At 33.7% G+C, this 19,266-nt stretch overlaps 1 long non-coding RNA gene across 1 annotated transcript in view; it reads left to right on the forward strand.

Moving 5' to 3' along the window:
• The window catches only part of LINC02211 (long intergenic non-protein coding RNA 2211), a 111,328-nt gene extending 100,258 nt beyond the window's left edge, over window positions 1–11,070 (forward strand). The window contains exons 2-4 of the long non-coding RNA NR_136209.1: window positions 6,493–6,593; window positions 7,769–7,850; window positions 11,008–11,070. This is a non-coding gene — a long non-coding RNA (long intergenic non-protein coding RNA 2211). The remainder of the gene's footprint in view (window positions 1–6,492; window positions 6,594–7,768; window positions 7,851–11,007) is intronic.
• Window positions 11,071–19,266: the final 8,196 nt, after the last annotated feature.

The following is a 19,266-nucleotide window of genomic DNA, read 5'->3' on the forward strand; positions in this document are numbered from 1 at the left end:
GGAAAATGGTTTTGATTTCTCCACGACGTAGCCAATACATATTAATTTTTGATGTTTTAATAATAGCTAATCTAATAGTTGTGAGATGATAACTCATTGTCATCTTGCTTTATATTTCCCTGATGATTAGTGATGTTGATCTTTCTATATATATATAGATAGATATGGATATAGATATAGATATACCTGTTGACCATTTGTATATCTTCTTTAGAGACATGTCTAGTTAAGTCCTTTGCCCATTTTTTTAAGTTTGTTTATTTATTTTTATTTATTTATTTGCTGTTGAGTTGTAGGAGTCTCAAATATTGTGGAAATCAACTCTTATCGAATATATGGTTGCAAATATTTGCCCCGTTCTATTCAGTAAAATAATTTTTAAAAAATTCTAATTATTAATATATTTTATTAATTTGTAATTTCAAGAGTTGGTGGCTTTACTATGTTAACTTCTAATCAAGAATATGTTCATCTCAGGCCATGTGCAGTGGCTCCCAGCACTTTGGGAGGCAGGAGCTGGTGGATTGCTTGAGCCCAGGAGTTAGAGACCAGCCTGGTCAACGTGACGAAACTCCAAATCTACGAAAAATATAAAAATTAGCTAGGCGTGGTGGCACGTGACTGTAGTCTCAGCTACTCTGGAAGCCAAGGTGGGAGGATCACTTGAGCCAGGGTGGTCAAGGCTGCAGTGAGCCTTGATGGCACCACTGCACTTCAGCCTGGGTGACAGAGTGAGATCTTGCCTCAAAGAGAAAAGAAAAAAAGAAAAAAAAGTGTTAATCTCTGTGAGACACAAAGGTCTAGATTTGACAATTGGTAAGAAATTCAGGGACTTCTGAGATACTTTCCACTTGTTTTACTACCAAGCTAGTAAATAAGCAATCATGTGTTTCTCCAAGACGTCCATTCTTGCCTAGTATGTCATAAAGTTGCGTCTCAAAGTTGGGTAGCCTTAGAAGACCCTGTAAAGTGAGGACACAACCGATCCAAAGGATCCCAGACCAATGTCCCTACTGTTTTTATGGGGCTTCAAGCTAGAAGAAGGGCAAGATGAAGGTGAAGATCATGATTTATGCAACTTTTATTTAGGATTTCTGAATCAATAGTAATAAAAGTAAAATCTTGGGAGGCCGAGGCGGGCGGATGATGAAGTCAGGAGATCGAGATCATCCTGGCTAACGTGGTGACACCCCATCTCTACTAAAAATACAAAAAATTAACCGGGCGCGGTGGCGGGCACCTGTAGTCCCAGCTACTCAGGAGGCTGAGGCAGGAGAATGATGTGAACCCGGGAGGCGGAACTTGCAGTGAGCCGAGATCACGCCACTGCACTCCAGCCTGGGCAACAGAGCAAGACTCCGTCTCAAAAAAAATAAATAAATAAAGTAAAATAAAATAAAAGTCAAATCTGCATCATGTTTCTAGTTTAATTTATTATTTGGGGGTATCCTCAGACAATTTTCTCTATAATTTTGAATAGTCTCTCTCTTTTTTTTTTTTTTTTTTAGTTTAACAGAAATCTTTTTAAAATTTAAGTCTGTAGAATTTTATTACATTCTAGGAACATTTTGGATAAAGTTTAATAATTTATTGGTTTCTCTTCGTCATTAATTTCTTTCCTTTACTTCAGTAATATTTATTGATGTGTCTTGTATGTCAGAAATAATAGTAAACAGAAAAATGTGACACTTAGACAAAAAAAAGCAGTGACGTTAACACATAAACACAATAGGAAATTGTAGTAAGTATTATAAGTCTGGCGTCCCCAGCCCCCAGGCCACAGACCTGTACCTGTCCATAGCCTGTTAGGAACTGGCCGCACAGCAGGAGGTGAGCGGCAGGTGAGCAAGTGAAGTTTTATCCATATTTACAGCTGCTCCCCATCGTTCACATTATCACCTGAGCTTCACCTCCTGTCAGATCAGCAGAGGCATGAGATTCTCATAGGAGCGGGAACCCTATTATGAACTGCACATATGAGGGATATAGGTTGTGCACTCCTTATAAGAATTTAATTCCTGATGATCTGAGGTGAAATAGTTTCATCCTGAAATCATCACCCCCAATCCTCTCAGCAGTGGAGAAATTGTCCTCCAAGAAACCTGTCACTGGTGCCAAAAAGGCTGGGGACCATTACTATAAGTAATCATATCCAAGGATCTTTTGTTGCAGACAGTTATTGATTTTTTTTACTTTGTTTAATGGTTAATTTATCAACTGTAAATACATTTATTCTAAAAAATCATGATGAATCACTTTTTTGACTTTTATAGCAATAGTTTTCTTAAGTAATTTCACATTTTCTTGTACTAATTTTACATTTTAACAAATCATTTTGTCATATACTCCTACATGCTTCAAATGACATACAATAATTACTGAATGAGTATAGAATTTTATTTTTACTCCTACACTACTTAAAGTTATTGTATCATATATTTTATTTCCTTGTTATCTTCATACTTTTTTCACACTTTTCAAAGAGTGAATAATAATTGCAGAGCTAGAAATTAAAAAAAAAAAAACCCACTCTGGTTTGTCAGTCAACTGATTTCCAGGTCAAACATGAGTCCTCATTGTATCTTCTCAGTTCTCTCAATAATCTCCATTACAACATTGATGTAGGCCACTCTTTTATAGAGCTCATTTCCTACATCAAAAGAACATTCAGACCTCATGCATGTCTTTTTAACTTGAAGCTTTTTCTATCTATCCCCATGTTGTCCAAGTTTAATTTTCTTAATTTCACACATTGCTTTAATTTCCAGAAATATAATGCTTTCCTATGTGCGTCATATATTACATTTTGGTAGATGATCCAAAGCTTATGTCACCTTGGAAAGCAGAGTTGGTGAGAGCAAAGGTTTGTATTCTCTCTGACAGTAGATCAAGTTGCTATCTTCCATCAGATTTGGGAAGTACTTTTTAACCTGACTACCTTGTTGAGAAATGGAGCTGATAAGCCTTTCTTTTTTTCCTAATATTCTTTTTTTTTTTTTCAGGATGCTTTGGCTTATTCTCAGTTCCCTTTGTTTAGGCTTCTTTATTTTTTACTTGGAAAACTGTTCCCAAAATTTAGATTTTATTCAGACAAATGCTTAACATTGTGAGATAATCGGAACCACATATAAACTTGTAGCACCTAATACAGGCCGGGTATTTTATTTATATATATATATTTATACTTATATATAATATATATTATATATATAAATAAATATATATATGTATATATATGCCAGACATAGTGGTGAACATCTGTAATCCCAGCTACTCAGGAGGCTGAGGCAGAGGTTACAGTGAGCCAAGATTGCACCACCACTGCATTCCAGCCTAGGCGACAGAGTGAGACTCCATTTCAAAAAAGCAAATGAACAAACATCTAATACAATTATTTATTTTTAAATAAAGACAAATTAATAAAGATGTATACTACTAAGAATAATGTCACCCGTCTTAATTTTTTATGAATTTTTCATTTATAGTTTTTCCATGTGAGCATACTGGTGGGGTTTGACTGTGTCAATATATTCTAAATATTTCTATTTTTTATTCCATTATGTTGTCCATTATCACTGCCTAGTCAATGGCTTTCCTATTAACATTATTAGTCCCTTTAACATTTAGGTACACCTCTCCTATTCTTGAAAGCATCTTTGCTTTCTGGAGCAAGGTGTTCCAGTAACATCTTTATATCTGCTTGGGTACAATATATATGTTTGTGAAAGACTGCATTCTGCAAAATCACCGCAAACGATTCCAGGGCTTATGAGGAAAATGACATTGGCCAAAACCTGCGCAGGCCTGTAAACAGAGCACTAACAAAAATAATAACTGCTGTCTTAGAAAATAACTTGGCAGACCATGCAAGCAGCTCAGGTTTGCCTGAAGGTTGCCTAAGGAAATATTAAACTTATGCAAAAACAATTGAGGTGAAAGTCTGGCTTGTGCAAGGCACTGAATCAATGCAGAAAGAAAACGGAGCTCAGGACACCAGAGCAAGTAAAATCTGCTCTCAGACTAGAACTTTGTATGGGTGTGGTTCTGGTTCTCCAGAGTGAGTATATCGCACACAGTGACTCATTGTCAATTTCTCTAAAGTAGAGTTGAAAAGACTACCGTGTATGAAGCACCCAAGCAAAATGCTTACTACATTTTTTTTCCTTTTTTTTCTTGTTGAGGGTTTAATTTTTCTCACACTATTTTGGCTCCTCAGAAAAATCAGATATGAAAACAGATACAGATATAAAACACAAATTTTATTTTATAATTTTCCCTCATTAATAATGGTAATAAGCAACATTGGTTATTAGAAGTGTCTTATAACAGAAAAAAAAAGTCTGCAAACATCCTGAAATCAGCTACTCTGAAATAGTTTATGTACTTACTTTTCAATTTGGAAAGAGCGTTAAATATAAAAACTGAGAGCTTATATTTAATTTTTTAAAGGCTAGGAGCTTATAAAAATGGTTTGAAAGACCACATTTTAAAATGCTGCCATTAACATTTTGCAAAGCACAAAGGTTTTTGTTTTTTGGTTTTTAGTTTACAGTTTACAGTGATAATTCCAATTCTTGTATTTCCAAATGCATAATAAATTTTTTTTAAAAAACTAGTTAATTTTCTCTATATCATGCTTATTTAGTTTTTATTTCTTCTTTAAATTGCTATTATATACTTTTCTCTTTCATAACTGTCAACGTTCTTATTAACCAAGACAAAATATCTCTAAGATAGAGAATAAGATAACAAATAATTGTGGTAGGCTTTTCTAATAATAGTTTACCCTAAATTCCTAGCACAAACCCTGTGTATCCTGATTCATTTTGTTTTTAGTACAGCCATATACTGCATAATGATGTTTTAGTTAACAATAGACCCATATACAACAGTGGTACTGTAAGAATACGATGAAGCTGAAAAGTTTCTGTCTCCTAGGGACATCATAGCAATGGCAATCTGGTAGGGCAGCACATTACCCATGTGCTTGAATCTTGGTAATACTACTAGAAATGAATGTGTTCCCCTGGGGAGATTCGTGTGTGTATGTGTGCATGCGTATATGTGTGAATGTTCTATTTTTTAAATAAAGCTAGCTACATTTAGAAATAAATGATAATGTAAAATAGAAATTTAAGCTTTTTATGTATTACAACCATTGATTTTGGCAAATGTATGCTAAGATCCTTCAGAGATCTGACACATTTTTCCCCTTAACAAGAGATTTAACATCCACATGTCAAAATCTCATTAACTTTGTCACTATGACCATGGATACATCCTCAATAGAGAAACTTTTCTAGAATTTTCCCCTTTGATTAACACCTTTTATTTTTCTCATTTGATTACATTCATTAAATTGAATAATGGACTCCAGGAATCTCTTTTTGGCATAAAGTAATTTGACCCTTTTATGAGTGACAGTACCAATATTTGTTAGATGTTAAATTTAATTTCTCAAATATAATTTCCTTTGATTGATGCTGGATTATAAAATGTTAAAACCTCACCTTACAATTTATAGATTTAAAAAATTCATGCATTTTTAATTGTTCAAATTCTTCAAATACAGTAAAATATTCAAATAAATGCTTTTAAATCCATGAATAAAATTAATTGAATAATCGTGTCTTTCTGTAATACTGCAGGCTTATAGTCTTTTAAAAGACTATTGATACTGGATTCTTGATAACATTGCAATCAATAACTATTTTTTACTGTCCGAAATCAGTACTGATATAGATAATATGAACTCAAAAGGTCCAAAGTATATGTGATATTGCCATTTGTGTGGGAAGCATTATAGTATATTGGCTTGGAATTGAAAATAACTAGTTTTAATCCAGGTTTGTCACTTACTATATCTTTGAGTATGGAAAAGTAAATTATTTATCTACAACAGTGGTAGTCGAAATAACACTCACAAGTTGCTTCATCTATAAAACAGCAATAATTATAAGAATACTAACTTAAAGGGTTATTGGAAAAATACATGTACATAATAAACATGCAATGCCTGATAGGTACCTTGTGCTTTATCTGTTGTTACTATATCAAAAAGAATGGGCAAGACAAGAATGGGCAAGACAAGAATGATTAGAATTCAGCATAAAATGATAGAACGAACATTTTTTCATCTTTTTCTTTAAATCATATTTAAAACCTGAAAATAAAGTTTAGAAGAACACTACAGGATTACTTATCATGAGATTGAAAGAAAAATGTCTTATGCTATCTTGATAATACTCTTGAAATAGTTCAATCAACTGGAGATTATTTTAGCTATCTAATGGTTTATTATGCAATAAATCCATCTGACTGCTCTATAGAAATTTGGGTGAGGGTAGTGTAACTTAAAATCAGATAGTCTACCAATATAGATGGCTCTTAAACTTTGTCTTGACATTTTCTAAGAAAATACGTAGATGTTTTTACATTATTGGAAATTCAATTCGGAATTCATTCACACATCTCACGTCTCACACATTTCAGAAAATCAGAAATTTGTATTGATGAAAAAAAAAAGTTGTTCTTGGCCAAAAACATCAATCAGCCTCATCTCCAGAGTGATCCTCCAAACTCAGGGAGAATTGGTAAGTGTTTTTGACTTTCATGATAGATCTGAAAATTGTCACCTAAATTTTTTAAAAAGCAACACACGACCAGTGTTGCCAATCTCTTGTATTTAGCTTGAATTGACTCGGTACAGTTCTTTTTCCAAGTCTATATAAAAATGGCCTCAGGGGATATCATTTAATTGTGTGGTATGTTCGTTGTACTGTTCATTCCATCTTTTCTGTTATTTGCTATCATTATAAATCAACTACCATGTAAACCCATTTGATCAAATGATGTGCATTAATAAATTTTACTTCAAAATGGTTCTATTTAAAACATCACGTTTTCTATGAAATTATCATTGAAGATATTACCTATAATGTTGTTCAATGTTTTCTTAAGATTTCATTTTTTTTTGAGCAGTTTTAGGTTCACAGCAAAATTGGGAGCATGGTACAGGAATTTCCCATATAGCCTGTGACCTCACACATGTTGTATAGCTTGCTCTGGTGAGGGACTATGAACATCCCTCACCAGAAGTCATATTTGTTGCAATTGATGAACCTGTATTGACACATCATAATCATCCAAAGGCTGTAGTTTACATTAGGGTTCACTCTCAATGTTGTACATCCTAGGGGTTTGGACACATGCATAATGTAATATTCATTTGCAATATCACATATATATAATTATAGTAACATATAGAGTTTACACAATGTCCTTAAACTATTTGCTTTGCCTTTTCATCCCTCTCACCTCTATGTCATCTGTTGGCAACCAATTCTCTTCTGCTGTCTTCACAGTTTTGTCTTTTCCAGAATGTTATGTAGTTGGAATCCTGTAATATATAAAGGATTTAGATTGACTTATTTCACTTAGCAATGTGCATTTAAGTTTCTTTCCTGTATTTTCACATCTTAATAACTCAGTTCTTTTTACTGTTGAATAATATTCCATTGTCTGGATTTACTGCGGTTTATTTATCCATTCACCCACTGAAGTACATTTTGATTTCTTCCAAGTTTTGTTAATTATGAACAAAACTGCCATAAACATTTGTGTGCAGGTTTGTGTGGAAGTTTTCAGCTCCTTTAGGTAAATGCCAAGGAGTACGATTGGTGGATCATGTGGTAAGGATATGTTTAGTCTTGTAAGAAATTGCCAAACTGCCTTCTTAAGTAACTGTCCCATTTTGTATTCCCACCAGCAGTGAATGACAGTTCCTATTTCTCAACATCATTGTCAGCATTTGATGCCGTCAGTGTCCTAGATTTTGACCATTATAATAGGTGGGTAGTGGTATCTTGTTGTTTTAACTGGCCTTTCCTTTATGACATACGATATGGAGCATCTTTTCCTATGCTAATTTGCCATGCATGTGTCTTCTTTGATGAAGTGTCTGTTAAGGTTATTGAGCTATTTTTTCAATCAGACTTTCTCTTATTACCGGGGTTTAAGGGTACTTTGTAAATTCTACACAACTCCCCTTAATCAGATTTATCTTTTGCAAACATTTTTTCCCAGTCTGTGGCATTTCTCTTCATTCTCTTGACTTTGTTTTCTGCAGAGCAGAAGTTTTCAATGGCTGGCTTAATGATTGATTTCTTTCTTGGATCATGGCTTTGGTGTTCTTCCTAAAACGTTATTTCCATACTGATGATCAGCTAGATTTTCTCCTTTGTTACCTCTTAGTTTTATAGTTTTATGTTTTACATTTGATCCTATGATTCATGTTGGGTTAATTTTTGTGGAGGGTGTAAGATCTGTGTCTAGACTCACTTTTTTTGCATGTCTAGTTATTCTGGTACCTCTCGCTGAAAAGACTATCTTTGCTACATTATACTGCATTGCTTTTTGTTCCAAAATCAGTCGACTATATTTATGCAGGTCTATTTGTTGGTTATCTATTCTGTTCCATGGGTCTATTTGTCTCTTTTTGCCAATATCAGACTGTCATGATTACTGTACCTTTATAGTAAGCCTTAGAGATGGGTATAGACAGTCCTTCAATTTATTCTTATCAATCAATATTGCTTTGGCTATTCTGTGTTTTTTGCCGCTCCATATAAACTTTAGAATTAGCTTGCTAGTGTCCACAACATACATTACTGGAATGTGATTGGAATTTTGTTGAATCTATAGACCAAATTGGGAAGAAATGACATATTGCCAATATTGAGTCTTCTGATTTATGAGCATGGGATGTTTCCATTTATTTGGTCCTTTTCTGTTTAACTCATCAGAATTTTATAGTTTTTTTTGTATAAAGCTTGTACATATTTTGTTCAATTTATACCTAAAGTATTCCATTTTGGGGGAAGCTGATATAAAAGTAATGTTATTTCTGTTTTTTTTTATTTCAAATTTAACTGTTCATGGCTGGTCTATAAAAAATAAACTGACATTTGTACATTAGACTTGTAATCAGCAACCTTGCTATAATTGTTTGCTAGTTCCAGAAGTTATTTGTTGTAGTTGTTGATTCCTTTAGGTTTTTTACATGGATAGTCTTGCCATCTTTAAACAAAAATAGGCTTATTTATTTTTTCTCAATACTTATACATTTTGTTTCCTTTCTTATTGCATTAGCTAGAACTTTCAGTATGATATTGAAAAGCTGTGGTGAGAAGAAGACATCCTTGCCTTTCTCTGAATCTTAGTAGGGGAGCTTCAAGTTTCTCAACATTAAGAATAAAGTTAGCTATAGGGATTTTGTAAATATTCTATTTCTGGCTAAGGAAGTTCTCTATTCCCAGTTTATTGAGAATTATCACAATTGGGTGTTGTATTTCATGAAATGCTTTTTCTGCATATGGTGATATGATCATAATGTTTTTGCAAAAACCTATGAAGTGAGTGTTTTTTAAAATGCTACAAATTTCCTCTGGAGAAACTAGTGTATTTTGAAGTATCTATAAAAGTTGGAAGCCATATTATATCTTACATTTGGCCATGTTTGACAGGTCAGTTAAAGATCATGATTAATCACAACAGGAATATTAGCGGGGATAATTTTAAAGTTTGCTCTTGTTACAGTTTATTTTTTTCTTCTCATAATTTTGCAGGTTTCTATACATTTCTTTTGAAAAACTGTGAGAATCAAAAACAGAAAAATGGGTCTTTAAGATAATCTGGTGATTTTACATTTTCCTAAATGTATATTTAATTAACTTTTTCTATTTTTAATATGCTGTATCACTAATCATTATGTTAAAAGGTATAGTAATTTATAACTTTATGATCTATTTCAAAAAATCAGTTATTAGACAAGCAGGGTAATAAAAACTTTCAAAAAACAGTATTTTCCAATATCATTGCTAGACAAGATTATTCAATTATCTTTCATTTTAAAATTTCCATTTGATTATTTCTCTTTGTGCCAACAGCAGTCGTAACTCTGAGAACCTGAAAGTCTAGCCACTAAATAAACATTTTATTAATTAAATAAATTTTTACATAGCTACTAACAGCTACCACAATTTATAGACTGATTTTATTTAAATGTTTTATTTGAAGACTTATATTCCCTTTTTTGCATAATGTAAGCATAAATATAATATTCTTTACTCAGCTATGAGAAGATCATAAAATTTCTTCCCAGAAATATTTTTATGACTAATTGCTTCCCATTCATGTGGTCAGAAATCTTATTTTATTCATTTAACCTATTTTTCATACCAACTTTTAATATCACCGTCTTCCCAATTTTAAAATAATGAATGCAATTCCATTTCAAACATGTATACTCCTCTCTGTAACTTCATCATTTTTTTTCCTGTTTTAATGCAATTCTTACCTACTACCATTAAACCTCCATTTGTGTTACTGCAATTCCACTAAAATTCACAGTAACAATATTGTTAAAACTAATTTACATTTTTAAGATAAAATTATAGTTGCCTGTTTAATAGTTTGACATTCAATGAAATAAAAGATAAAAAAGCATTTTTGAGTGTGTGTGAATGCCTGTGTATGTACAATACCTGTATGAGTTTGTGGATAAGAGTGTGCATAGTGTGTGTGAGTGTGTGTGTGTGTGTGTAGGAAAAGGGGAAAGAGAAAAAGAGATATTAAATGTAATTTTGTAATTTTTTACAGTAAGTACTTTTTTAAACATTCAAGTGAATATATATAGTTGGAAATAGTTTGGCTGGGAGCTATTTGAATTTGAAACTCAACCTCATGCATATGGTAGATGAAACCACACATTGAGACAAGCTAGGAAAAGTCTAAATAGTAAGTAAAGTTAATGTTTAGCAAAACTGGAATCCTGAGAGTTAGTCAAGCAGGCAAACCATGTTGGAAATTAGGCGTCCAAAAGAAAAATCATAAGATGGTAGTTTCTTAGCAATAAAAGAAATAGAAAGCTTTAAGAATGTAGTGATGCTCCGGTTGAATATTCTCCATCACTTTTGCCTCCACTTCTTGGATGTGTTTTCTTTTCAGTCATCCTCCTTAGCCACCTCTGATGAGTGCATTGAAGAGGATGACCTGCTTGGTTATTCTGCTTCCCGAATACAAAAAATTAGGCTTCTGAAATCAAACATAAGAAGTCATTGTTGCTTTTATTCCAGGTGGGTCAGCTTTCTCAAATACTGTGAATTTCTATGTGTTTGATTCAAATCAACGCCTTTTACATAAACTTGTAATTCTGCCTGAGACATCTATCACTATAGTTTAATTACAATCATTTGAGATGAGAACACCTAAAGTCTACCCTCCTAGCAATTCAAGGATACAAAACATTAGTTTTAACTCTGGTCATCGCATGGTACAATAGATCTCTTCAACTTATTCTTGCAATTTAACTGAACTTTTGTATCTTTTGACCAACATCAACCCAATCCCCCTGCACTCAGTCCCTGGTAACCACCGTTCTCCTCTCCACTTTTTATGAGTCCAACTTCTTTAGATTCCACATATAAGTGAGATAATGTACATGTTAATTAACTCAATTTAATTTTTCTATAATGTTTATATATTTCAAAACAACATGCTGTATACCATAAGTTTGTATAATTTTTGCTGAATTAAAAATAAAAATACTTACGATTATTTGAGATGTGTCGGGCTTCTGTGGAACTATGCCTATGAGATATTCAACTTAGAGTTATTATTTTCCTAGCCTTTTTTTATCTCTGACTTGAGATCTACGTTTTAGCTCTGCCACACTGCGTACAATTCTCCAGGCAATTAATACTGAGGCTAGTTTCTGGCACTTCTCCATAAACTGTCCCATCTTCCTTAACTAAATTTGCCTCTTACCTGTACTCCAGTCGCTAAAGGGCTTCACGCCTGGTCACCGTGAGTACATCCCTCAACTACCCAATGTATACATACCAATTTAAGAGGAAAAAGTTTTTTATTTCTATTTTAGTAGCAAGTTATTAATTACAGTAATTAAACATTTCGTCTAAAAGAAAGAAAATACATAGTTAAATCTAGAATATGTGGTAAGTTAAAGAAACATTAATTTTGGTTTCAGGCAAACGTTGTTAGTTTTACTTCATTAGATTGATTTTCTAAAGCTAGAAGCCTAGGGAAGAATAATTTGTATATAAAGAATTAAATAAAGCTTTTACATAAAAATTATAAAAACATATATTTATATACATTCCAGTGATTAAACACAACTCTTTCCTCTTCTTTTAAGTTTCGAATGTACCTTTGATAACTGTCTGTATTGAATTCTAGTCATTACTTAAGCTATCCTTAATTAAAAGTAAGAGCTGAAGAGTTTTGGTTAAAATATATATGTATGCTTGAAGTTCATTTTACTTATATCCAAACCAATCAATGCTAATAATATCACCAAAGTGATTTTACCCACATAAAATATTTCAACATGGATTTCTGAACCTATACTGGTGCCAAATTTTTATAAATAGATTGCTTTTATTTGAATATTAGTTTTTTACAGTTGCAAGAATCCCTTCAAATTGTCTAAATAAGGCAGACAAGAAGAGAAACAGATGTACATAAGTGAACCTGAATAGATAGACAGATGATAGATAAATAGGAGAGAGAACAAGAGAGAGAGAGAGAGAGAGAAAGAGAGAGATGCATGATAAATGATGGAATCTTGGTAATAGTAAACTAACTGAATTAGATATTAGGAAATATACTAATGTAAATACTAAAAAGAGATGTTCATCCCATGAATATTCAAGCAGAACAATAAATCTATGTTTCAGTTTTAATATATGTAATATTAATAATTTTAAAAGTAAAATATTACCTTAAACTTTTCACTTTTTATAAATTATCTTTTTCAAGAGAATCATTTTTAAATATTGTGTTACTTTATTTGTATCTATAATTTTTAAATATTTTCTCTTCAAAATTCCTGAAATGTGTATGCCACATAAAATATACTTAGTATTTTCTCATTCTAAAATAAATCTGAACAGCTTTAAAGCATGACAATTATGCTTAAGAATATTACTACCGGTTTCTTGAAAGGACATTTTTTTTACTCTCTGATTTGCATATAAAATCGCATAGAATAGATTCACATTATTAATTTCAGCATTCCTGAGACTGAAAAATATTTAGAGTGATAAAAATACTGTTGGTTTTCTCACATTTTGTGGCCATGTACACTGAGGCAAAGTGAAGAACTGATCCAGGGATTTCAAATAGTGTTAGCAAATGATTCAGCATTATAACAGGAAATGTTTTATCCAATATATTTTTAGTAAAGTGTTCATGTCAGAGTAAACCAAAATGATTTACAAAAAGAATGAAAGAACAATTTACATATCAGGGATATCCACCCCCCTTTTAAAAGGCATATTGTATTTTTAAATTGAAGATTATATACTTTATGTTCTAGAAAATGTACTTTAATTAAATATATATAATATATGTGTGTGTGTGTATATATATACTCTTTTTCTTTCTTTCCTTCTTTCTTTCTTTCTTTTTTTTTTTTTTTTTTTTGTTTTTGAGGCAGAGTCTCACTCTGTTGCCCAGATCAGAGTGCAGTGGTGCAATCTCAGCTCACTGCAACCTCCTCCTCCTGGGTCAAGAGATTCCTCTGCCTCAGCCTCCCGAGTAGCTGGGATTACAGGCACGTGCCACCAAGCCCGGCTAATTTTTGTATTTTTAGTAGAGACAGGGTTTCACTATGTTGACCAGTCTGGTCTCCAACTCCTGATCTCAGGTAATCCACCCACCTTGGCCTCCCAAAGTGCTGGGATTACAGGCGTGAGCCACCGTGCCTGGCCTTTATTTAAATATGAATTCTGAGTTTTGTATGTATCTTGACAGATCCACTGAGAAAATGTATTTGAGTATTTAGATTAATTCACTAAGCAAAAACTCAGTTTAGCCTTTAAAGGCATCAACAACAAAAAAAATGGGCATTTTCATCCATCAAATATATGTCATTAGTTTTGGCAGTAAATTTTAATTTCGACATGAGGAACATATTAGTATAGATGAATCTTATTTTATTTTTATTTATAGCTTTATTAATATTATTAAACTACAAAATGTTTTAAATAGCTTGAATTTCAACTAAACATATTAAATAATGTCAATATGGTAACAAAATAATTGAATAGCTATTCACCCATTTAAATTGATGATGTAGGTATTTTGAAGGCACAAAAACATATTTACAGTGCATCATTAAGTGAAAAGACAAACTTCTAAATATGCATAAATATGCATTCAACTCTGAAATAAACTAGATATATGTTTCCTCTATATGTGTGTATACATAATTTTACAAAATTTATATGTGAACATTATTACTTATTAATATATGTGACTAAATGTGTATCGTGGATACATGAGTTATACATTTACATATGTAACCACTTCTAAAATACATATAGTGGTATTTATGACAAATATATTACTTTGAGGTCAATCAAGTAATATTGATTTTACTAGAATTTAAGCCTGATGAATGTGAGACATTATTTTTTCTGTTTTGTTTCATCTTGTATTCAAATGTCATAACTTCCTGGCATATAGTACTTAATAAATATTGAATACAGAAGAACTGAATAATTAAATTCCTATCTGTATGTATATATCTCTATAGACATTTGTACCTATATGTAGATATATGTCCATATGCACCAAGGTTAAATCTTTTTTATTTTTTTTTTTAAGAGACTGGGTCTCGCTGTGTTTCCCAGGCAGGTCTCTAACTACTGGGCTCAAATATCTGTCTGCTGCAGCCTCCCAAAGTGATGGGATTAGAGGCATTAGCCACCCCACCCAGCCTCAACCAAGGTTAAATCTTAATAATGGCTTTTTTATAATTTTTAGACAATATACTTTTTATAATTTTCTGTTTCTAATTTATTTTTCTAACAAGAATACATTAACGTTATAGTCTTGAAGTGCTCATTAAATTTTATAAAATAAATGTTATTAAGCATAACTAGTTCTGTTGAAGTTCATTTACATTCTTCTTACAATTAGAGTTTAAAATATGACAGTCTTCTGTCTGAATGTCTTCTGATTTATAACCACACAAACCATTTCAATAAGTATGTTATTCTTTTCTCTAAATATGTAATTTTAAAGTTGACACAAATTAATTTTAATATTGAATAAAATTTTCATTAAGGGTAAACATTAAGTAGAGTTCACATAAGTATGAAAAAATATTTTAAATATTAAGAACTAGATTAGATAATTTCTTGGGATGGTCTTCCTAGTATGTATGAAATATTTTAAATCTTGAAGGAATATCTTTTTACTTATTTCTTTTTAAAATAACTGTATTGTAAGTAATCATTAGGGCTACTGACAATTTATTTTCTCTGCAGAATATACATTATACTTCTCTGAGCACTTTGAGGTCAGTTGTGTCATTTTGACTAATGTAGGGAAACACACTATGAGAAGAAAGTATGTTGCTTTCCCAGAAAGTTTTTTTTATCCCAAGTTGGCAATTGTGGAATCACCTGTGCAAGCAGACCTGCCATGACCTACATTGCATTATCACTATGTGGAACAGAGCAGATCTGCTCACTGAGTCTTTTTTTATTATTATTATTATACTTTAAGTTCTAGGGTACATGTGCACAACGTACAGGTTTGTTACATATGTATACATGTGCCATGTTGGTGTGCTGCACCCATTAACTCATCATTTAGCATTAGGTATATCTCCTAATGCTATCCCTCCCCGCTTCCCTCACCCCATGACAGGCCCCAGTGTGTGATATTCCCCACCTTGTCTCCAAATATTCTCATTGTTCATTTCCCACCATGAGTGAGAATATGCAGTGTTTGGTTTTCTGTCCTTGTGATGCTTTGCTCAGAATGATGGTTTCCAGCTTCATCTATGTCCCTTCAAGGGACATGAACGCATCCTTTTTTATGGCTGCATGGTATTCCATGGTGTATATGTGCCACATTTTCTTAATCCAGTCTATCATTGTTGGACATTTGGGTTGGTTCCAAGTCTTTGATATTGTGAACAGTGCCACAATAAACATACGTGTGCATGTGTCTTTAGAGCAGCATGATCTATAATCCTTCGGGTATATACCCAGTAATGGGATGGCTGGGTCAAATGGTATTTCTAGTTCTAGATCCTTGAGGAATCGCCTCACTGTCTTCCACAATGGTTGAACTAGTTTACAGTCCCACCAACAGTGTTAAAGTGTGTCTATTTCTCCACATCCTCTCCAGCACCTGTTGTTTCCTGACTTTTTAACGATCGCCATTCTAACTGGTGTGAGATGGTATCTCATTGTGGTTTTGATTTGCATTTCTCTGATGGCCAGGGATGATGAGCATTTTTCCATGTGTCTGTTGACTGCATAAATGTCTTCTTTTGAGAAGTGTCTGTTCATATCCTTTGCCCACTTTTTGATGGGGTTGTCTGATGTTTTCCTGTAAATTTGTTTAAGTTATTTGTAGATTCTGGATGTTAGCCCTTTGTCAGATGAGTAGATTGTAAAAAATTTTCTCCCATTCTGTAGGTTGCCTGTTCACTCTGATGGTAGTTTCTTTTGCTGTGCAGAAGCTCTGTAGTTTAATTAGATCCCATTTGTCAATTTTGGCTTTTGTTGACATTGCTTTTTGTGTTTTAGTCATGAAGTCCTTGCCCATGGCTATGTCCTTAATGGTATTGCCTAGGTTTTCTTGTAGGGTTTTTATGGTTTTAGGTCTAACATTTAAGTCATTAATCCATCTTGAGTTAATTTTTGTATAAGGTGTAAGGAAGGGATCCAGTTTCAGCTTTCTACATATGGCTAGCCAGCTTTCCCAGCACCATTTATTCAATAGGGAATCCTTTCCCCATTTCTTGTTTTTGTCAGGTTTGTCAAAGATCAGATGGTTGTAGGTGTGTGGTATTATTTCTGAGGGCTCTGTTCTGTTCCATTGGTCTACATCTGTGTTTTGGTACCGGTGCCATGCTGTTTTGGTGACTGTAGCCTTGTAGTATAATTTAAAGTCAGGTAGTGTGATGCCTCCAGCTTCATTCTTTTTGCTTAGGATTGTCTTGGTGATGTGGGCTCTTTTTTGGTTCCATATGAACTTTTAAGTAGTTTTTTTCCAATTCTGTGAAGAAAGTCATTGGTAGCTTGATGGGGATGGCATTGAATCTATAAATCACCTTGGTCAGTATGGCCGTTTTCATGATATTGATTCTTCCTATCCATGAGCATGGAATGTTCTTCCATTTGTTTTGTGTCCTCTTTTATTTCGTTGAGCATTGCTTTGTAGTTCTCCTTGAAGAGGTCCTTCACATCCCTTGTAAGTTGGATTCCTAGGTATTTTATGTTCTTTGTAGCAATTGTGAATGGGAGTTCACTCATGATTTTGCTCTCTGTTTGTCTGTTATTGGTGTATAGGAATGCTTATGATTTTTTCACATTGATTTTGTGTCCTGAGACCTTGCTGAAGTTGCTTATCAGCTTAAGGAGATTTGAGGCTGAGATGATGGGGTTTTCTAAAATACAATCATGTCATCTGCAAACAGGGACAATTTGACTTCCTCTTTTCCTAATTGAATGCCCCTTATTTCTTTCTCCTGCCTGATTGCCCTGGCCAGTTCTTCCAACACTACGTTGAATAGGAGTGGTGAGAGAGGGTATCCTTGTCTTGTGCCAGTTTTCAAAGGGAATGCTTTCAGGTTTTGCCCATTCAGTATGATATTGGCTGTTGGTTTGTCATAAATAGCTCTTAATATTTTGAGATATGTCCCATCAATACCTAGTTTATTGAGAGTTTTTAGCATGAAGCGCTGTTGAATTTTGTCGAAGGCCTTTTCTGCATCTATGGAGATAATCATGTGGTTTTTGTCTTTGGTTCTGTTTATATAATGGATTACGTTTATTGATTTGTGTATGTGGAACCAGCCTTGCATCTCAGGGATGAAGCCAACTTGATTGTGGTGGATAAGCTTTTTGATGTGCTGCTGGATTCGGTTTGCCAGTATTTTATTGGGGATTTTTGCACTGATGTTCATCAAGGATATTGGTCTAAAATTCTCCTTTTCTGTTGTGTCTCTGCCAGGCTTTGGTATCAGGATGATGCTGGCCTCATAAAATGAGTCAGAGAGGATTCCCTCTTTTTCTGTTGATTGGAATAGTTTCAGAAGAAATGGTACCAGCTCCTCTTTTACCTCTGGTGGAATTCGGCTTTGAATCTGTCTGGTCCCGGACTTTTTTTGTTGGTAGGCTATTCATTATTGCCTCAATTTCAGAGTCTGTTATTTGGTCTGTTCAGGGACTCAACTTCTTCCTGGTTTAGTCTTGAGAGGGTGTATGTGTCCAGGAACTTATCTATTTGTTCTAGATTTTTTAGTTTATTTGCATAGAGGTGTTTATAGTATTCTCTGATGGTAGTTTGTATTTCTGTGGGATCGGTGGTGATATCCCCTTTATCATTTTTTATTGCGTCTATTTGATTCTTCTCTCTTTTCTCCTTTATTAGTCTTGCTAGCAGTCTATCAATTTTGTTGATCTTTTCAAAAAACCAGCTCCTGGATTCATTGATTTTTTGAAGGGTTTTTGTGTCTCTGTCTCTTTCAGTTCTGCTCTGATCTTAGCTCAGTGAGTCTTAATGGAAGCAAGCCTTGAGGGATTATTATAATAATCCGCCAAGATTTTGGATAATTTGCTACCATGCAAAACCAGCTAATACCTGATTGATGCAAACATACTATGGCTACATAACAGATATATGCCTTATGTGACTAACAAGTTATTAGTAATTCCAATAGAAACTCCATTTTTGACTTGTTGGTTCCAAAATATTCTGCACACACATTGGCTTCTTAATCTGAGAAAGAAAGCCTATTCATTTGGCCCATACAGAAGGATAGGAATTAAAATTTAGACCTTAGACCTGGCCAGGCGAGGTGGCTCATGCCTGTAATCCCAGCACTTTGGGAGGCTGAGGCGGGCGGATCATCTGGGGTCGGGAGTTCAAGACCAGCCTAACCAACATGGAGAAACCCTGTCTCTACTAAAAACACAAAATTAGCCAGGTGTGGTGGCACATGCCTGTAATCCCAGCTACTCGGGAGGCTGAGGCTGAAGAATCACTTGAACCCAGGAGGCAGAGGTTGCAGTAAGCCGAGATCAAGCCATTGCACTCCAGCCTGGGCAACAAGAGTGAAACTCCATCTGAAAAAAAAAGGAAAGCAAACAAAAAATAAGAAATTTAGCCCTGGCTGTCAGAACTTTCGCTGAGAGGAAGCCTTTGAGTATGATGTGGTAA

Source organism: Homo sapiens, chromosome 5 (assembly GCF_000001405.40).
Source record: "Homo sapiens chromosome 5, GRCh38.p14 Primary Assembly".
In the NCBI taxonomy this organism is placed as follows: Eukaryota; Metazoa; Chordata; class Mammalia; order Primates; family Hominidae; genus Homo; species Homo sapiens.